The sequence below is a fragment of the Homo sapiens genome, chromosome 17 (genome assembly GCF_000001405.40).
Source record: "Homo sapiens chromosome 17, GRCh38.p14 Primary Assembly".
In the NCBI taxonomy this organism is placed as follows: Eukaryota; Metazoa; Chordata; class Mammalia; order Primates; family Hominidae; genus Homo; species Homo sapiens.
In genome coordinates this window covers 61,347,709-61,361,579 of record NC_000017.11, presented here as the reverse complement: position 1 = coordinate 61,361,579, position 13,871 = coordinate 61,347,709, and the positions used below count along the sequence as shown (strand labels likewise).

At 46.4% G+C, this 13,871-nt stretch overlaps 1 protein-coding gene across 8 annotated transcripts in view, besides 2 other annotated features; it reads right to left on the bottom strand.

The window, feature by feature from the left end:
- Positions 1-13,871, bottom strand: part of BCAS3 (BCAS3 microtubule associated cell migration factor) — a 714,981-nt gene that overhangs the window by 31,252 nt on the left and 669,858 nt on the right. The gene's annotated exons all lie outside the window — the stretch shown is intronic.
- Positions 4,578-4,872: an enhancer, noted in NCBI's record as "tiled region #2758; HepG2 Activating DNase matched - State 5:Enh". NCBI's record gives its function as "activates a minimal TATA promoter and a strong SV40 promoter by Sharpr-MPRA in HepG2 cells {active_cell/tissue: HepG2}" and the evidence as "EXISTENCE:reporter gene assay evidence [ECO:0000049][PMID:27701403]".
- Positions 8,273-9,219: an enhancer, noted in NCBI's record as "NANOG-H3K4me1 hESC enhancer chr17:59429722-59430668 (GRCh37/hg19 assembly coordinates)". NCBI's record gives its function as "activates a minimal SCP1, AML or CMV promoter by ChIP-STARR-seq in primed H9 embryonic stem cells {active_cell/tissue: H9 hESC(primed)}" and the evidence as "EXISTENCE:reporter gene assay evidence [ECO:0000049][PMID:30033119]".

Sequence of the window (13,871 nt, the reverse complement as noted above, 5' to 3'; positions counted from 1 at the left end):
ATATATACCACAGCTATATTATATATTATACCTGTGGACACATCTGATGGCCAATTATATGAGCCAGCGTTCTCCCACAGTGAGATAGATATAGATATAGATCAGATATTATATTATGTTATATATTATGTGTATCATATCGCATGGTCCTGAGCCAGGGAAAAGGAGTTCAATGGCAATTGGACTAAGAATTTCTTTGCAATCTAACACAGTTATTTTGACAAGGAGACCATTTTCACAACTGCAAAATATGCAATTGCATAATGCACACTTTAAAGCTTAGAACATAGATTACATCTGAGTCATAACTGGAATTCTCCCATTAACTTTTCTGGTTACTCTGGGCAAGTTGCTACTCCGTCTGGGTCTTTTCTTTTTTTTTTTTTAATTCTTTTTCTCTCTCAGCAGAATCATCCCTCTAGGTCTTAATTTCCCCATTTATGACACAGAAAATAAATAAATGATGCCCATTTAAGGGGTTCACATTGGCACTAATAGTTTCAATGTCGTTAACAATAGTATACTTCCAGAAAATGGTGTCTGATATTTGAGGTATCCTAGGGTAAAAGCTACCAATTTCATTTTCTACAAACCAGATAACAGTCAGCAGTTATACCATAAGAGTCTTGTTTTTACCCAATTAAAGGCATATGTTAAGCAGAAGACCTGGGTTCAAATGCCAGCTCTTGTTACTTTCTCACTGCATGACGTTGGAAGAGTCATTTTCCCTGTTTGAACTTTGCTTTCCTTATCCACTGCAATGGGTAGAATGGTGTTCCACCCCACCACGCCACCCAAAAGATATGTCCAGCAGGAGCCTCAGAATGTGGCCTTATTTGGAAATGGGTCCTTGCAAATGTAATTAAGGATCTCAAGTTGAGATCATCCTGGGTTTAGGGTGGGTCCTAAATCCAATGACTGGTGTCCTTAAAAGAGAAAAGAGGGGATCAGAGACACAGAAGGAAGAAGCCCATGTGAAGACAAAGACAGATGTGAGTTATCCTGCCTAAGCCAAGTAATGCCAGGAGTGGTGAGAAGCCAGAAGAAGCAAGGAAGGACAGCATGGCCCTGCTCACACCCCGATTTCAGAATGCTAGCCTCCAGAAATACAAGAGAATACATCTGTTGTTTTAAGTCACCAGGTTTATGGTAATTCCTTAAAGCAGCCTAGGAAAATAATAAACCTATAAAACAGGGAAACAAATATTTGGCTTCCAGAGCTGTTGTGAGCATCAGACCAGATAGTATTATGAAAGACTGTATTAAACAAAAGTTGGTTGGGCATAGTGGCTCACACCTGTAATTCCAACACTTTGGGAGGCCAAGGCAGGTGGATCACCTGAGGTCAGTAGTTTGAGACCAGCCTGACCAATATGGTGAAACCCCATCTCTACTAAAAAATATAAAAATTATCCGGGTGTGGTGGCGTGCATCTGTAGTCCCAGCTACTTGGGAGGCTGACAGGAGATTTCTTGAACCCAGGAGATGGAGGTTGCAGTGAGCCGAGGCTGCGCCACTGCACTCCAGTCTGGGCGACAGAGTGAGACTCTGTCTCAAAAAAAAAAAAAAGAAAAGTTATGGGAGGCCACTGTTTTGAACTGAGCTCCTGCACTAGGCCCCACACACCAGACCAAAATGAAATGGAATCACCCATGCTAAATGCCACACAATCAAACTGAAACTTTAAGGAAGCAGATAGATCCCAAAACAGACCAGCTATTCCTGAAAATGGGAGATTTCAGTCTAACTGAGTCAGGGTAGCCTTTAATCCTTTACAAAAAAAGAACCTGGCCAGGCGCAGTGGCTCACGCCTTTAATCCCAGCACTTCGGGAGGCCAAGGTGGGCGGATCACCTGAAGTCAGGAGTCTGAGACCAGCCTGGCCAACATGGCAAAACCCTGTCGCTATTAAAAATACAAAAATTAGCTGGGCATGGTGGTGCATGCCTGTAATTCCAGCTACTCAGGAGGCTGAAGCAGGAAAATCACTTGAATTTGGTGGGCAGAGATTGCAGTGAGATCCGCGGCACCGCACTCCAGCCTGGGCAACAAAGAGAGAGTCCGTCTCAAAAAAAAAAAACAAAACCTTGAAGTAACCTGATGTTAACCAATGAGCTTTTTTTTTTTTCTATTGTTTCCTTGATCTCACCTTAAAAAACCCGCTGTTCTACCACTGCCCAGTGGGAGCTCTCATTCTATTTTGTAGAATGGAGGCTGCCCAGATTCATGAATCACAAATAAAAGCCAATTAGATCTATAATGAAGTTTGTTATAATTTTGTCTTTTGACAAGTGCTTTGTAAGCTACACAGGCCCATTCAAAATTAGAGGATTACCCCAGGGCTCTGTAAGCAGCTCTTCTTTGGGGCAGTGGGATTCTATGAAAGGCTAAGAGAGTGACTGAGGGAACACTGGGCCAGAGGCAAGCAGCCAGAGGAGAAATACTGGAGCCTGGGCAATGCCACCGGTAAGGCTGACTGGTTATGCGTCAATTACATAGCAAGGGCCTTTGGTGGGGAGTGAAAGCGTATGGTGAGTATGTGCACCCCACTTTCTCTGAGGATGCCTGCAGGGGGCACAGGAGAGTAGGAGAAGCAACCTCTTAGCTCTGATCTCCCCACATCTGAGGGTGGGGATAGAACTTTTTAGCTCCCTAAATTCTTCGATAAACAAGCAGAGTTATACTCAACACGCGTAAGAACGGAATGAGATTGACTGTTTCGGGCAGGAATATTACTAGTATAAGCTATCTGACGGGCAATTTGGCAATATGCATTAAGAATCAAGGCCAGACGCGGTGGCTCACACCTGTAATCCCAGCACTTTGGGAGGCTGAGGCAGGCGGATCACCTGAGGCCGGAAGTTCAAAACCAGCCTGGCCAACATGGGAAAACTCTACTAAAAATACAAAAATTAGCCAGGCATGGTGGTGCATGCCTGTAATCCCAGCTACTCAGGAGGCTGAGGCAGGAGAATCACTTGAACCCAGGAGGTGGAAGTTGCAGTCTGCCAAGATCGTGGCACTGCACTCCAGCCTGGGTGATGGAGGGAGACACTGTCTCAAAAAAAAAAAAAAAAAAATTAAAAACGTGCCCAACTACTGACCTAGGCAGGGATGCCACTTCCAGAAATCTAGCCAAAATAAATAACCTAGGAAGCAACAACCGTCATGCATAAATACGCTCATTGCCATTTTAACACAGCCCTACAATATGGTATTTGTTAAGAAAGTTATACTTCATTCTTGCAGTAGAATGTTAGGTAGTCATAAACATGATGTTTATAATTAGAATTCTTTAAGATACAATGTTAAATTTAAAAAGACAAAAGTATACAGTTATTATTATTGAACAATGCAAAAGAAACATGGAAAAACATTCTAAATGATTCACGACAAAATGTTAACCACGCTGTCTCTGGGTAGTCAGGCTATAGGGGACTCTTCTGTTACTTTATATTTTTCTATATGTTTCCCACAATTTTTTTTTTTTTTTGAGATGGAGTCTCACTCTGTTGCCCAGGCTGTAGGGCAGTGGCATGCTTTCAGCTCACTGTAACCTCTGCCCCCCGGGCTCAAGTGATTCTTGTGCCTTAGCATCCCAAGGAGCTGGGATTACAGGCATGTGCCACCATGCCCAGCTAATTTTTGTATTTTTAGTAGAATGAGGTTTCAACATGTTGGCCAGGCGGGTCTGGAACTCTTGACCTCAAGTGATCCACCCGTCTCGGCCTCCCAAAGTTCTGGGATTACAGGCTTGAGCCACTGTGCCCAGCTGTTTCCTAATTATTTTTTTGTATTTTATATTTTTTATTATTATTTATTATTTTAAAAAAATTTTTGGCCGGGCATGGTGGCTCATGCCTGTAATCCCAGTACTTTGGGAGGCTGAGGTGGGTAGATAATGAGGTCAGGAGTTCAAGACCAGCCTGGCTAAGATGGTGAAGCCCCGTCTCTACTCAAAATACAAACATTAGCCGGGTGTGGTGGCAGGCGCCTATAACCCCAGCTACTCAGGAGGCTGAGGCAGAGAACTGCTTGAACCCAGGAGGCAGAGGCTGCAGTGAGCCGAGATCGCGCCACTGCACTCCAGCCTGGGCGACAAAGCAAGACTCTGTTTCAAAAAAAAAAAAAATAAAAATTTTTTTTTTTTAGAGAGAGGATCTCACTCTGTCGCCCAGGCTGGAGTGCAGTGGTGCAATCATAGCTTACTGCAGCCTTGAACTCTTGGGCTGAAGCAATCCTCCCTCCTCTCCCAAGTAGCTGAAACCATAGGCACCTGTTATTTTATTTATTTATTTATTTAATTAATTAATTTATTTATTTATTTATTTATTTTTTGTAGATATGGAGTCTTGTTCGTTGCCCAGGCTGGATCTCAAACTGTTGGCTTCCAGTGATGCTCCTGCCTTGGCCTCCTGAAGTGCTGGGATTACAGGCATGAGCCACTGCACTTGGCCTACAGTTTCTGTAATCAGTTTTTTAAGAAAAAAAAAAAAGAAAGAAAGAAAAAGTCGAGAGACAAAAAAATGCCTCCTGGGAGAAGCACTCATGCTGGGACCAGGTGGGCCCATAAGAAGCACGGGAGGCACCTGACCTTGCTGCGATGCCTCCTCTGTCAAGTCCTGTGCTCGGTCCTGACTCAGCCGGGGGCAGGTGAGCCTGCAGCTCCATGGCCCATGTCTGACTCTTCTCCCAGTGGCCATGGCTGGCTGCATGCAATGTTGACTCATCCCTGTGTACACATGGCATATTTATTTTTAATTCATATTAGGAATGTGCACCAACTTGTGTGTGAAAAATGGCAGAAACGATTCCACCTCTGTACAAATTTCATACATCAGATCAGAAAGGGCTAGAAGAACAACTCTGGAAGGAGTTGATTTTAAAATCAAGTCCCTTTACCTGTCCTCTTTGTCTCCCCTGCCTACAACTAACCTCTGGATAAACAGGCCCGGCTTCCTAGGAGACACCTTTTCATGACTGTCAAGAAATGGCTGAGGCCCTCACACATCATGAGGTCATTGAGCAGGGCTGTGAGCCCAAGAGATCAGTCATCAGTGTAGGTCCCAGTAAGGAGAATCTCGACTGGCTCCACATTCAGAACAAACATGGAGGTGCTTCAGGGAACAAGAGAGCTTTCCAAGTCAGGCTGAAGCTGGCATTCCCAGACTGGACGCCAGAGACCCTTTACTCTTCTGTTTTAAACTTGGCACACTCATGATTTCTCCCCCTCCAAGGAGGAAGAGAAGAATCATTTTGTAGCTGGGCTGCAATGACAATGTTTCCTGGCCAGGTGCGGTGGCTCACGCCTGTAATCCCAGCACTTTGGGAGGCCGAGGCGTGTGGATCACCTGAGGTCAGGAGTTCGAGACCAGCCTGGCCAACACGGTGAAACCCCGTCTCTACAAAAATACAAAAATCAGCCGGGCATGATGGCAGGCGCCTGTAATCCCAGCTACTCGGGAGGCTGAGGCAGGAGAATCACTTGAACCCGGGAGGCGGAGGTTGCAGTGGGCCGAGATTGCGCCATTGTACTCCAGCCTGGGCCACAGAGTAAGACTCAGTCTCAAAAAAGAGAAAAGAAAAAGAAAATGTTTCCTGTAGGCTGCTCTGGCCTGCTTCTTCAGGTGGATAGAAAACATACACATAGAGCTGTGATAGGATTCCTATGGCAGGGCTCAGAATACACTGCAAGACAAACTATCCTCGGAAACCTAGCAATTCCTTCAATGGAAAAACAAGGAACTGAATCTCTCAAGACAGCAAGCATACAAACTGGGTTTTCTAGGACAGTCCTCATTCCAAATAATTAGTCTGTGGTCAGGTATCAGGAAAGGTAAGATAACTAACATTTGTCGGGTGTCCACTTTGCATCAGGCATAGCTACTTTATACACACTATTGCACTGAAATCATCCCAATAACTTATGAGGTGGATGTTATTGTTCCAATTTGTACAGTTCAAGGAACTGTGGCAGAGAGAAGTAAGATTGTTGCTTAAGATGACAAGGTCAAGGGTACAGTCAGGATTAGGATCCTAGGTTCATTTGGCTCCAAAGCCTGTCATTTCTCCACTAAAACTACCATGCTGAATTTTTTTTTTTGAAAATATGGCTGGAGTGCCAGCGAGGGGGTTTTCAGCTCAGTCTTTCCATTCCAGAATTTTTAAGTGTTCTTGCAGTTGGGTGGTAGGGGGTGGAGGGAGCAACCCAGCTAAATCCTGTGATTTCTGTGCTCCACAAATAAGTCAAACACGAGGCTCTCAACTGAGAACTTTGAAGTCTGAAACCTGGGGCCAAGAAGTCTTCTGTTTTTATTAGTCAAAGAAGATGTTTCAAAAACCAGATTTATCATGACTGGATTTCAGATGTGAAACCCAATATACACACAGACACGAGTGGCTTGTCCTCTTGGATTATTTCTGACCTTTTACTCTCCTCTGAGGATCTGCGTTTCCTCAGAGTGCGAACTCTCTGCCTCCCCAGCTGGCGGAGGTGTCTGGAGGCCCAGCTTTGCAGGCCTGGGCCCCCTGCTGGCCTTGGGAATTTCAAAGAGCAGGGAGGGATGGGTGGGCACACTGGCTCTGATCTGGAGCCAGGGGCTATTTGTTCCTCTAAGGCCCTGGGACAGTAGCTGCGGGGAAAGGAAAGGAGGAGTCCACCTGCCCTGAAGGGGAGGGTCCCGGATGTGCCTGCCGGTACTGGAGTTGACCCGTTTGATACCTGACCCATTTTTAGCTTTGTTATTTTGGTAGTCTCCTAACTATGTGGGCTTTAAAAATGGTGTTCCCAGCTTGGGCAATAAACATGTGTATTTGGAGTGTGTGGTCAACCTTCCACCTCTCTCAACCACCTAAACCCAAGAGCTCTCACTCCAAAGGACAAACCTGTACCAGATTTTCAGGTGCAGGGTCCTTGGGAAGAAGATCTGGGCCTGGCCTCCCATCCTGACTGGGGGCAAGGTACATTACAGAATCCCGACTTCCCAGGTCCTTGCACTGAAGCTGTTCAACAAAGACTTGGCCTGAGAAGAGCAGGCTAAGCAGCAGCACTGTTTTGGACAATGGAGGGGTCACTTACTAGAGTGGCTGTGGATGGTTTCCATCAGGCCTTGAGGCTTCAGGTGGGCAGAGGACCTTGCACCTTGCACAGAGGGGTGATGGGCTGAGCGTGAGTGTGAAGGCCTGGATGTTCCCCACTCAAGGGCGGTGGAAGAGTCCACTGGAACAGGAAGTCTCTCATGAAAATCTCACATATTTTCACAGAATAAGTACATATTTTTCTCATAATTCTCTCTTTCCTTTTGGTTGTGGGATCACAGCAATTTTTACCACAGGCAGGACAGATGCTGTCAACTCCATTTCATAGATGAGGAAGCCAAGGCTCAGGGTGGTTCAATGACTTGCCTCAGTCACCTTAGTTTCTCACCGTCCAGGGTGGTTGTGCGACCTTCTGTGAAGGTCTCAGTGAACAAACTGGCATGCTGCAGAAGCATCATGGCTGCCAGAGGTGGGTGCGGAAGTAGAACCAGCGGGGTGGCCTGGTGAGTGGCCTTGCTACAGTCTGGCCAGTGCTTGCTCAGGGCCCTCGTCTCACAGGGACTTCTCTGACTTTCAGCCTCATGTCCTAGTCTTGCAGCCTAAGGGGGTGGAGGTAGAGCTCAGCCTGGCGTTACTACAATTTATCACACAAAGTGTGTTCGGAGCCTGTTCCACACCTGAAACAGAGGGCTGCCTGGGAACTGTCATTTCCTGCCTTGACATGTCAGAGCATCTGTTCAGCCCTCGCCAGCCTTGGCCGGTCCGCCTGACTCAGCAGCCCAGGCGTGGAAACCAGGGAGAAAGGAGGGAAAAGTTGAGAAGCTGCAGGATCACACAGGGTGAGCAACGAGGCGTAGACGTCTTAACAATGATAATAATCCCTCACGCCGCACACTGCTCTACCCTTTACAAGGTGCTTTCACAGCCATTTGCTCCATGAATCCTCACAACACCCCTAGAGAGGAAGACAAGGCAACGATTACTATTCCCCGTTTCACGGTTGAGGAAATCAGGGCAGGGAAGTGAAGTGCGGGGCAGAACTTAGACTGGAGAACCCCATTTTGCACTCAATACCTTCGCTGTTCAAAGTGTGCTCCACCCACCAGCAGCAGCAGCATCACCTGGAAGCCTGTGAGAAAGGCAGCTGCTCAGACCCCTCCCCAGACCGCCGGCGTCACCAGCTGCATTTTAATAAGACCCCCAGGGGATCTGTGTGCACGGAAGCTGCAGAATCACTGCCCACACCCTACTCCCCTCCCCCTGGCCTGTCCCCAAAAGCATTTTTTGGCTGTTGGTCCCCTTAGAGTATATCTGGTTCTATCTCCTCTTTTAAACACAAGGAAATGGAGGCCCAGGGAGGGGAGGGGACAGGACATGGCCTGTGACAGAAGCAGGAGCAGACAGAACCTTGGTCTTGCACATCGGTCTTGGGCCTGTTACATCCGGCTTGTCTATCCAGCAGACATTCAACTGATGTCTCCCTTTCCTCTCCTCCCTCTCCCCACCCCATGAGGTCAATCCTCAAATTGCCTTCAGCTGCCAGTCCCTTGGCCTCTCCCTGCAGTCCCAGCCTTGTGTTAGGCATTAACATGAGTTCCAGCGACGGGGGTTAACACTCCATTAAAGCAAACAAGAGAAATTCATACCTCCCGCTAGCAGCCTAGGAGCCGAGCAGGAGTGTGGCGGCACCAGGCCTTCTCTGCACAGCTGCAGAGGGCAAGCAAGACTTGGGTCCATCTCTGCCCTTTTCTCTTACAGGCCTTACTGCCTAGAGGAGAGGGGTGGGGAGTCCAGGCTTGCCTGCAGAGAAGGCTCCACTTAGGCCTTGTCAAAAGCCCACTCGTTAGTAAGTGTGAAAAAATGCCCAAATCACTGTGTTAATCTGGTTGTGATTTCCCCTCAACTCACAGACTCATTGTGTGCCAAGTGTGGCGCCTACGGGTAAAGAGATTCCGAGGCTGTGGCTCGAGTGTGGGGTCAGCATCACCCCTCCTTCCCTCCACTTCTACTCCACCGAGGCCAACCAGGATGTTATTCATTTCCCTAGCTGAGAAGTAAGTTCAAAAAGGCCAGTAGAGCCTCCTCTCACCCCTTCCTTGTGGAAGAAATGCCAATTCCTCCCTCGAGGAGGAAGCAACATATTTTGTTTCTGCTATACTCAGGCAAGGAGCAGATTTATAGTCAGCCCAGGGTGTGTTTGTGTGTGCAAAGAAACCTATCTTTTTATCTTTGGGCCTAAGGTACATACTGGATTAGAAGATTGGATTCATCCATGAGTAGGGAAAAAAGAAAAAAGCCAAAGCACCAAGGGGCTCCCAGGAGGGGCCCAGAGACCTCTTGTTACTACGTCAGCTGGACATGGACCTGTCATCTAACTCTGAGTTAGGGCTAACAGCTGAACGAAGGAATTAATTTCTCACTGTTTCATTTTAGTTTTAGAAATGCCTTTAGGGTTGAAAAACTACTAGAATAGTTTTCTTGTATCCCTCAGATTGGGGAAAAAAATAGGTAAAGAAGTAAAAGCAGTGTTTGTTGTAGAAATACCTAACAAACAGCTCAACGAGCTGGCAAAAAGTCAGTAGTCCTTTCCAGGCCTCCCTCTAAAGGGAAGAGGCCTAGAGACGAGCTGTATGTCCTCTGATGTAGGAGATGGCTCTCCAGTTGTGAATATCTGAAACGAGTGGTGGAGGATGAACCAGCCCATCTCCTTCCACTCCTGCCCTTGGAGCTACCCTCAAGCAGCAGTTGCTTGTGCCTTTTCACCTAGCTGCAGTCTCTTCTCTTCATTTAGCACCTCCTTACATCCTCCTGGTTAAGCCATTCTGAGATGCGGAAGGGGGAGAGATGAGGTGGTTATAAGGCCATTGAGCTCTGTTGGCAAAAAGAGCACTCAATCGAGAGTGGGAAACTTGTGCTCGATCTAGCTCTAGTATGTCCTAACGACGTGACCTTGTGCAAAGCACTTAACCTCCTGGAACTTCAGCTTTCTCCACTGTATAAGAGGAATAATACTGCTAGTTACTATTGCTAATTGTAAGTTTCAAAATCGTGCTAAGATTCAAATGATAGGCTCTATGACAGATCATTCAAAAATCGAACGTGGAATCTGAATGTCAAGTACTGATTTTACTCCCAGAAGCCAGCTGGCCTTCGGTTGGTGCTTTCACCACTTTACACCAGGTACTTTGAGATGTAAGGATAATTCCCATGCTGTTTGGCTTCTTGAGGAAGGGAAAAAATAGTTCAGGATGCAGCTAAACTGGAAATGGGAAGTCACCAGCAATGCCTTTACAATAGCTTTAATATTGCACGAGATACTCAATTCCTGTCCTCCAGGATCAAACTGAGCTCACCCTGAAGTTATTTTGATGTCTCAAAGATATCTAAGGACAAAGAAAGTGCCCAGCACAGATCTTGCCACATAACAGGTGCCCAATAATTGTTTACTGAATGAATGTAGGAAAGAACAAGCCTTTGCTATATTTAGATCTGAAGTACGTATGATGGGTCTGAAAGGGACCACCAGACAGCACCATCCTTCAATCTCTCATTCTAAAATAACTCCAAGTTGTGGCAAATGGCAGGATCTCCTTCTTTTTTAAGATTGAAGGCTGGGCATGGTGGCTCACACCTGCAATCCTAGCACTTTGGGAGGCTGAGGCAGGGGAAGCATCTGAGCTTGGGAGTTCAAGACCAGCCTTAGCAACACAGGGAGGCCTCATCTCTACTAAAAATAGAAAAAAGTAGCCAGGTGTGGTGGCACATGCTTGTAGTCCCAGCTACTCAGGAGGCTGAGATGGGAGGATCACTTGAGCCTGGGAGGTTGAGGCTGCAGTGAGCCATGATTGTACCACTACACTGCCACCATGGTAACAGAGCAAGACTCTGTCTCAAAAAAAAAAAAAAAAGACTGAATAATATTCCATTGTGTACATACACCACAGTTTCTTTATCCATTCATCCACTGACAGATTGTTTCCATATCTTGGCTTTGTGAATAATGCTGCAGGAGCATGGACACACAGGTATCTTTATGAAGTGATGATTTAAGTCCCTTTGGGCATACCTTAAATACATACAATAAAATTTATTTATTTATTTATTTATTTATTTATTTATTTATTTATTGAGACAGAGTCTCGCTCTGTCGCCCAGGCTGGAATGCAGTGGCACGATCTTGGCTCACTGCAATCTCCGCCTCCTGGGTTCAAGTGATTCTCCTGCCTTAGCCTCCTGAGTAGCTGGGATTACAGGTGTGTGCCACCATACCCAGTTAATTCTTGTATTTTTAGTAGAGACGGGGTTTCACCATGTTGGCCAGGCTGGTCTCAAACTCCTGACCTCAGAGTGGAGGGGATTACAGCACTCTGTAATGCCATGAGCCATGGCACCCAGCCAAAATTTATATATTTTTTAATGAAATAAAAGAACCCAAAAAAGGAGAGGTCCCTAAGTTCCTTAGAGGCACATTCCTGAGTTTTCTACTCAGTAGGTCCCTTCTCTCTGCAATATTTAAATGAGTATAATTTATGTTTCTATTTTTCCTAGAAAGACAATGTCCCAAAGCCAATTGTTCAGGAGAGATTATTGATCTTAACTATTCAGAAATGAATGACAATGTTTGAATTTCACAAATTTGCAATTTCACACAAAGGGCACTGGCCTTCTGAACTGCTTCTATGCTAATACCTTTGGTAGAGACGAAGGCCTTATGTACAAAATCACTCCTGAGAGCAGATGTATTAAACATTCTTCAAGAATTCCACTGCTGGGGACATGAAGCAGTGTTAGGTCTTAAATATATAAAAAAGTAGAGTTAGCTCTTTCCATGGCAATTGCCCAAAAACGTCTTCTTTGTCTACATATGGTACCTCTTCCACACTTCTTTAATAGTCAGCTTTGAAACATATGCTAGCTTTAAAAAACATGTTGGATTACAGTCAGGTCCATTATTCCACAAAATGGAGTAGGCAATCAGACTGTCTACACCAGGGGGCAGTGAGGGGCTCTGGTCTAAAAGCTTTCGGAGAAGCAGAGCTGGACCAATAATCTAAGTGCAGAATTTCCACTGGACCAATAATCTAAGTGCAGAATTTCCCACTCAGTTGTTCAGAAACTCTGTTCGGTCAGTGGGTTAGCATTTCCATCCCACACATCTGAGGGATTCATGACATGGTTCCATCAGTAACAGTGGCTCATGATCATGGGGATTCTCAAGAACTTTAGGTTGGAGGGTATTAGGGTGTAGGGTGGGAGAGTGGGGGTGTGATTTGTGCAGTTGGAAAGAACCTATGGTCTGGAGTCACTCCCAGACTTCCCTCATGAGAAGAAGCACTTGGAATGCTTACTGAGCAAATGAATTCTCAGGCCCTTCTGGATATTCCAGCACAGTGATTCTAGGGTAGGACTGGATTCTTATCCAGGGATTTTGGGAACCACTGCTCCAAAGCACGGGTCCTCAAATCCAGCCTTAAGAATCTCTGCCCAAGAGGGCCGGGCACGGTGGCTCACGCCTGTAATCCCAGCACTTTGGGAGGCTGAGGTGGGTGGATCATGAGGTCAGGAGATCAAGACCATCCTGGCTAACACGGTGAAACCCCATCTCTACCAAAAATACAAAAAGTTAGCCGTGTGTGGCGGTGGGCGCCTGTAGTCCCAGCTACTCGGGAAGCTGAGGCAGGAGAATGGCATTAACCTGGGAGGCGGAGCTTGCAGTGAGCCGGTATCATGCCACTGCACTCCAGCCTCGGCGACAGAGTGAGACTCTGTTTCAAAAAAAAAAAAAAAAGAATCTCTGCCCAAGAGGTTGCAAGAAGCACGTGACTGTCCTCCCATGATCATGGCAGCTTAGGTACAATGATGTGGTCCCTTGTGGGCAACCCAGACTCTATAAAGCAAGTTGACTTCATTGGGAAATTGCTGACTACTCCCTAGCTTCCTCAGTTTTCCTCTTCCCTCTCTGACCGCTCCCAAGTCTCTCCCAAGGCCTCGCTTTATTCTCTCTGCAACTCAAATTTTGGTGCCCTCAGTCCTCTTCTCTTCTTTCTCTGTAAACTATTCTTGGGTGAGTTCAGCTACTCTAACGCTTACAAATACCCAGTACTACCTATATGCTACTGACTTCCAAAACTGCACCTCTAACTCAGGTCTCTCCTGGGCTCCAAAACCATCTGCGTAAGACCAAGCACCCTCACTTGGATGTTCCACAGGCACCTCCAACTCAACATCTCCCAAACAAATTCATGACCTAACTTCTCCAGCCCTTGCTCTTCCTTCTCTATCCCTACTTAGGTGGGTGGCAACACCATCTTCTCATTGGCCCAAACATCGCCCGTCCATCCAGCTGACCAGTAAGTCCTGTGGATTTTACTTCCCAAGCCCTCTTGAATTTGTCTCCTACTTTCCTTAGCCACTGGGCTTAGGCTCTTACCAGTTCTCATTGGGATTATTCTAGCAATCTTTAAACTGGTCTTTCCGCCTATTAATGTGGCTTCCCTTCAATTCATTCTTCCTAGTGCCACCTGGGTGACCTTTTCTACAATGTGAATCTGAACATTTTACTCATCTGCCCTCAGGATTAAGCCCAATCTTCTTAGCACAACTGTCTATCATCTGGCCTCTAGCAGCTTTCCAGACTCTGAACGCTACACCCCACCTTGCGCCTTGCCCCTGTGTCTGTGCATCTGCTGCTCCCTCTGCCTGGAATGCCTTCCCTGGTGAAGTCCTATTCATCTTTGAGGACTTAGGTCAGCCGGAAAAGTCTACCACTCCCCTTCTGGGTCTGACTTAGGTCTTCCTACCGGCCCCCACAACACCCTAGGCTTACCTTCACAT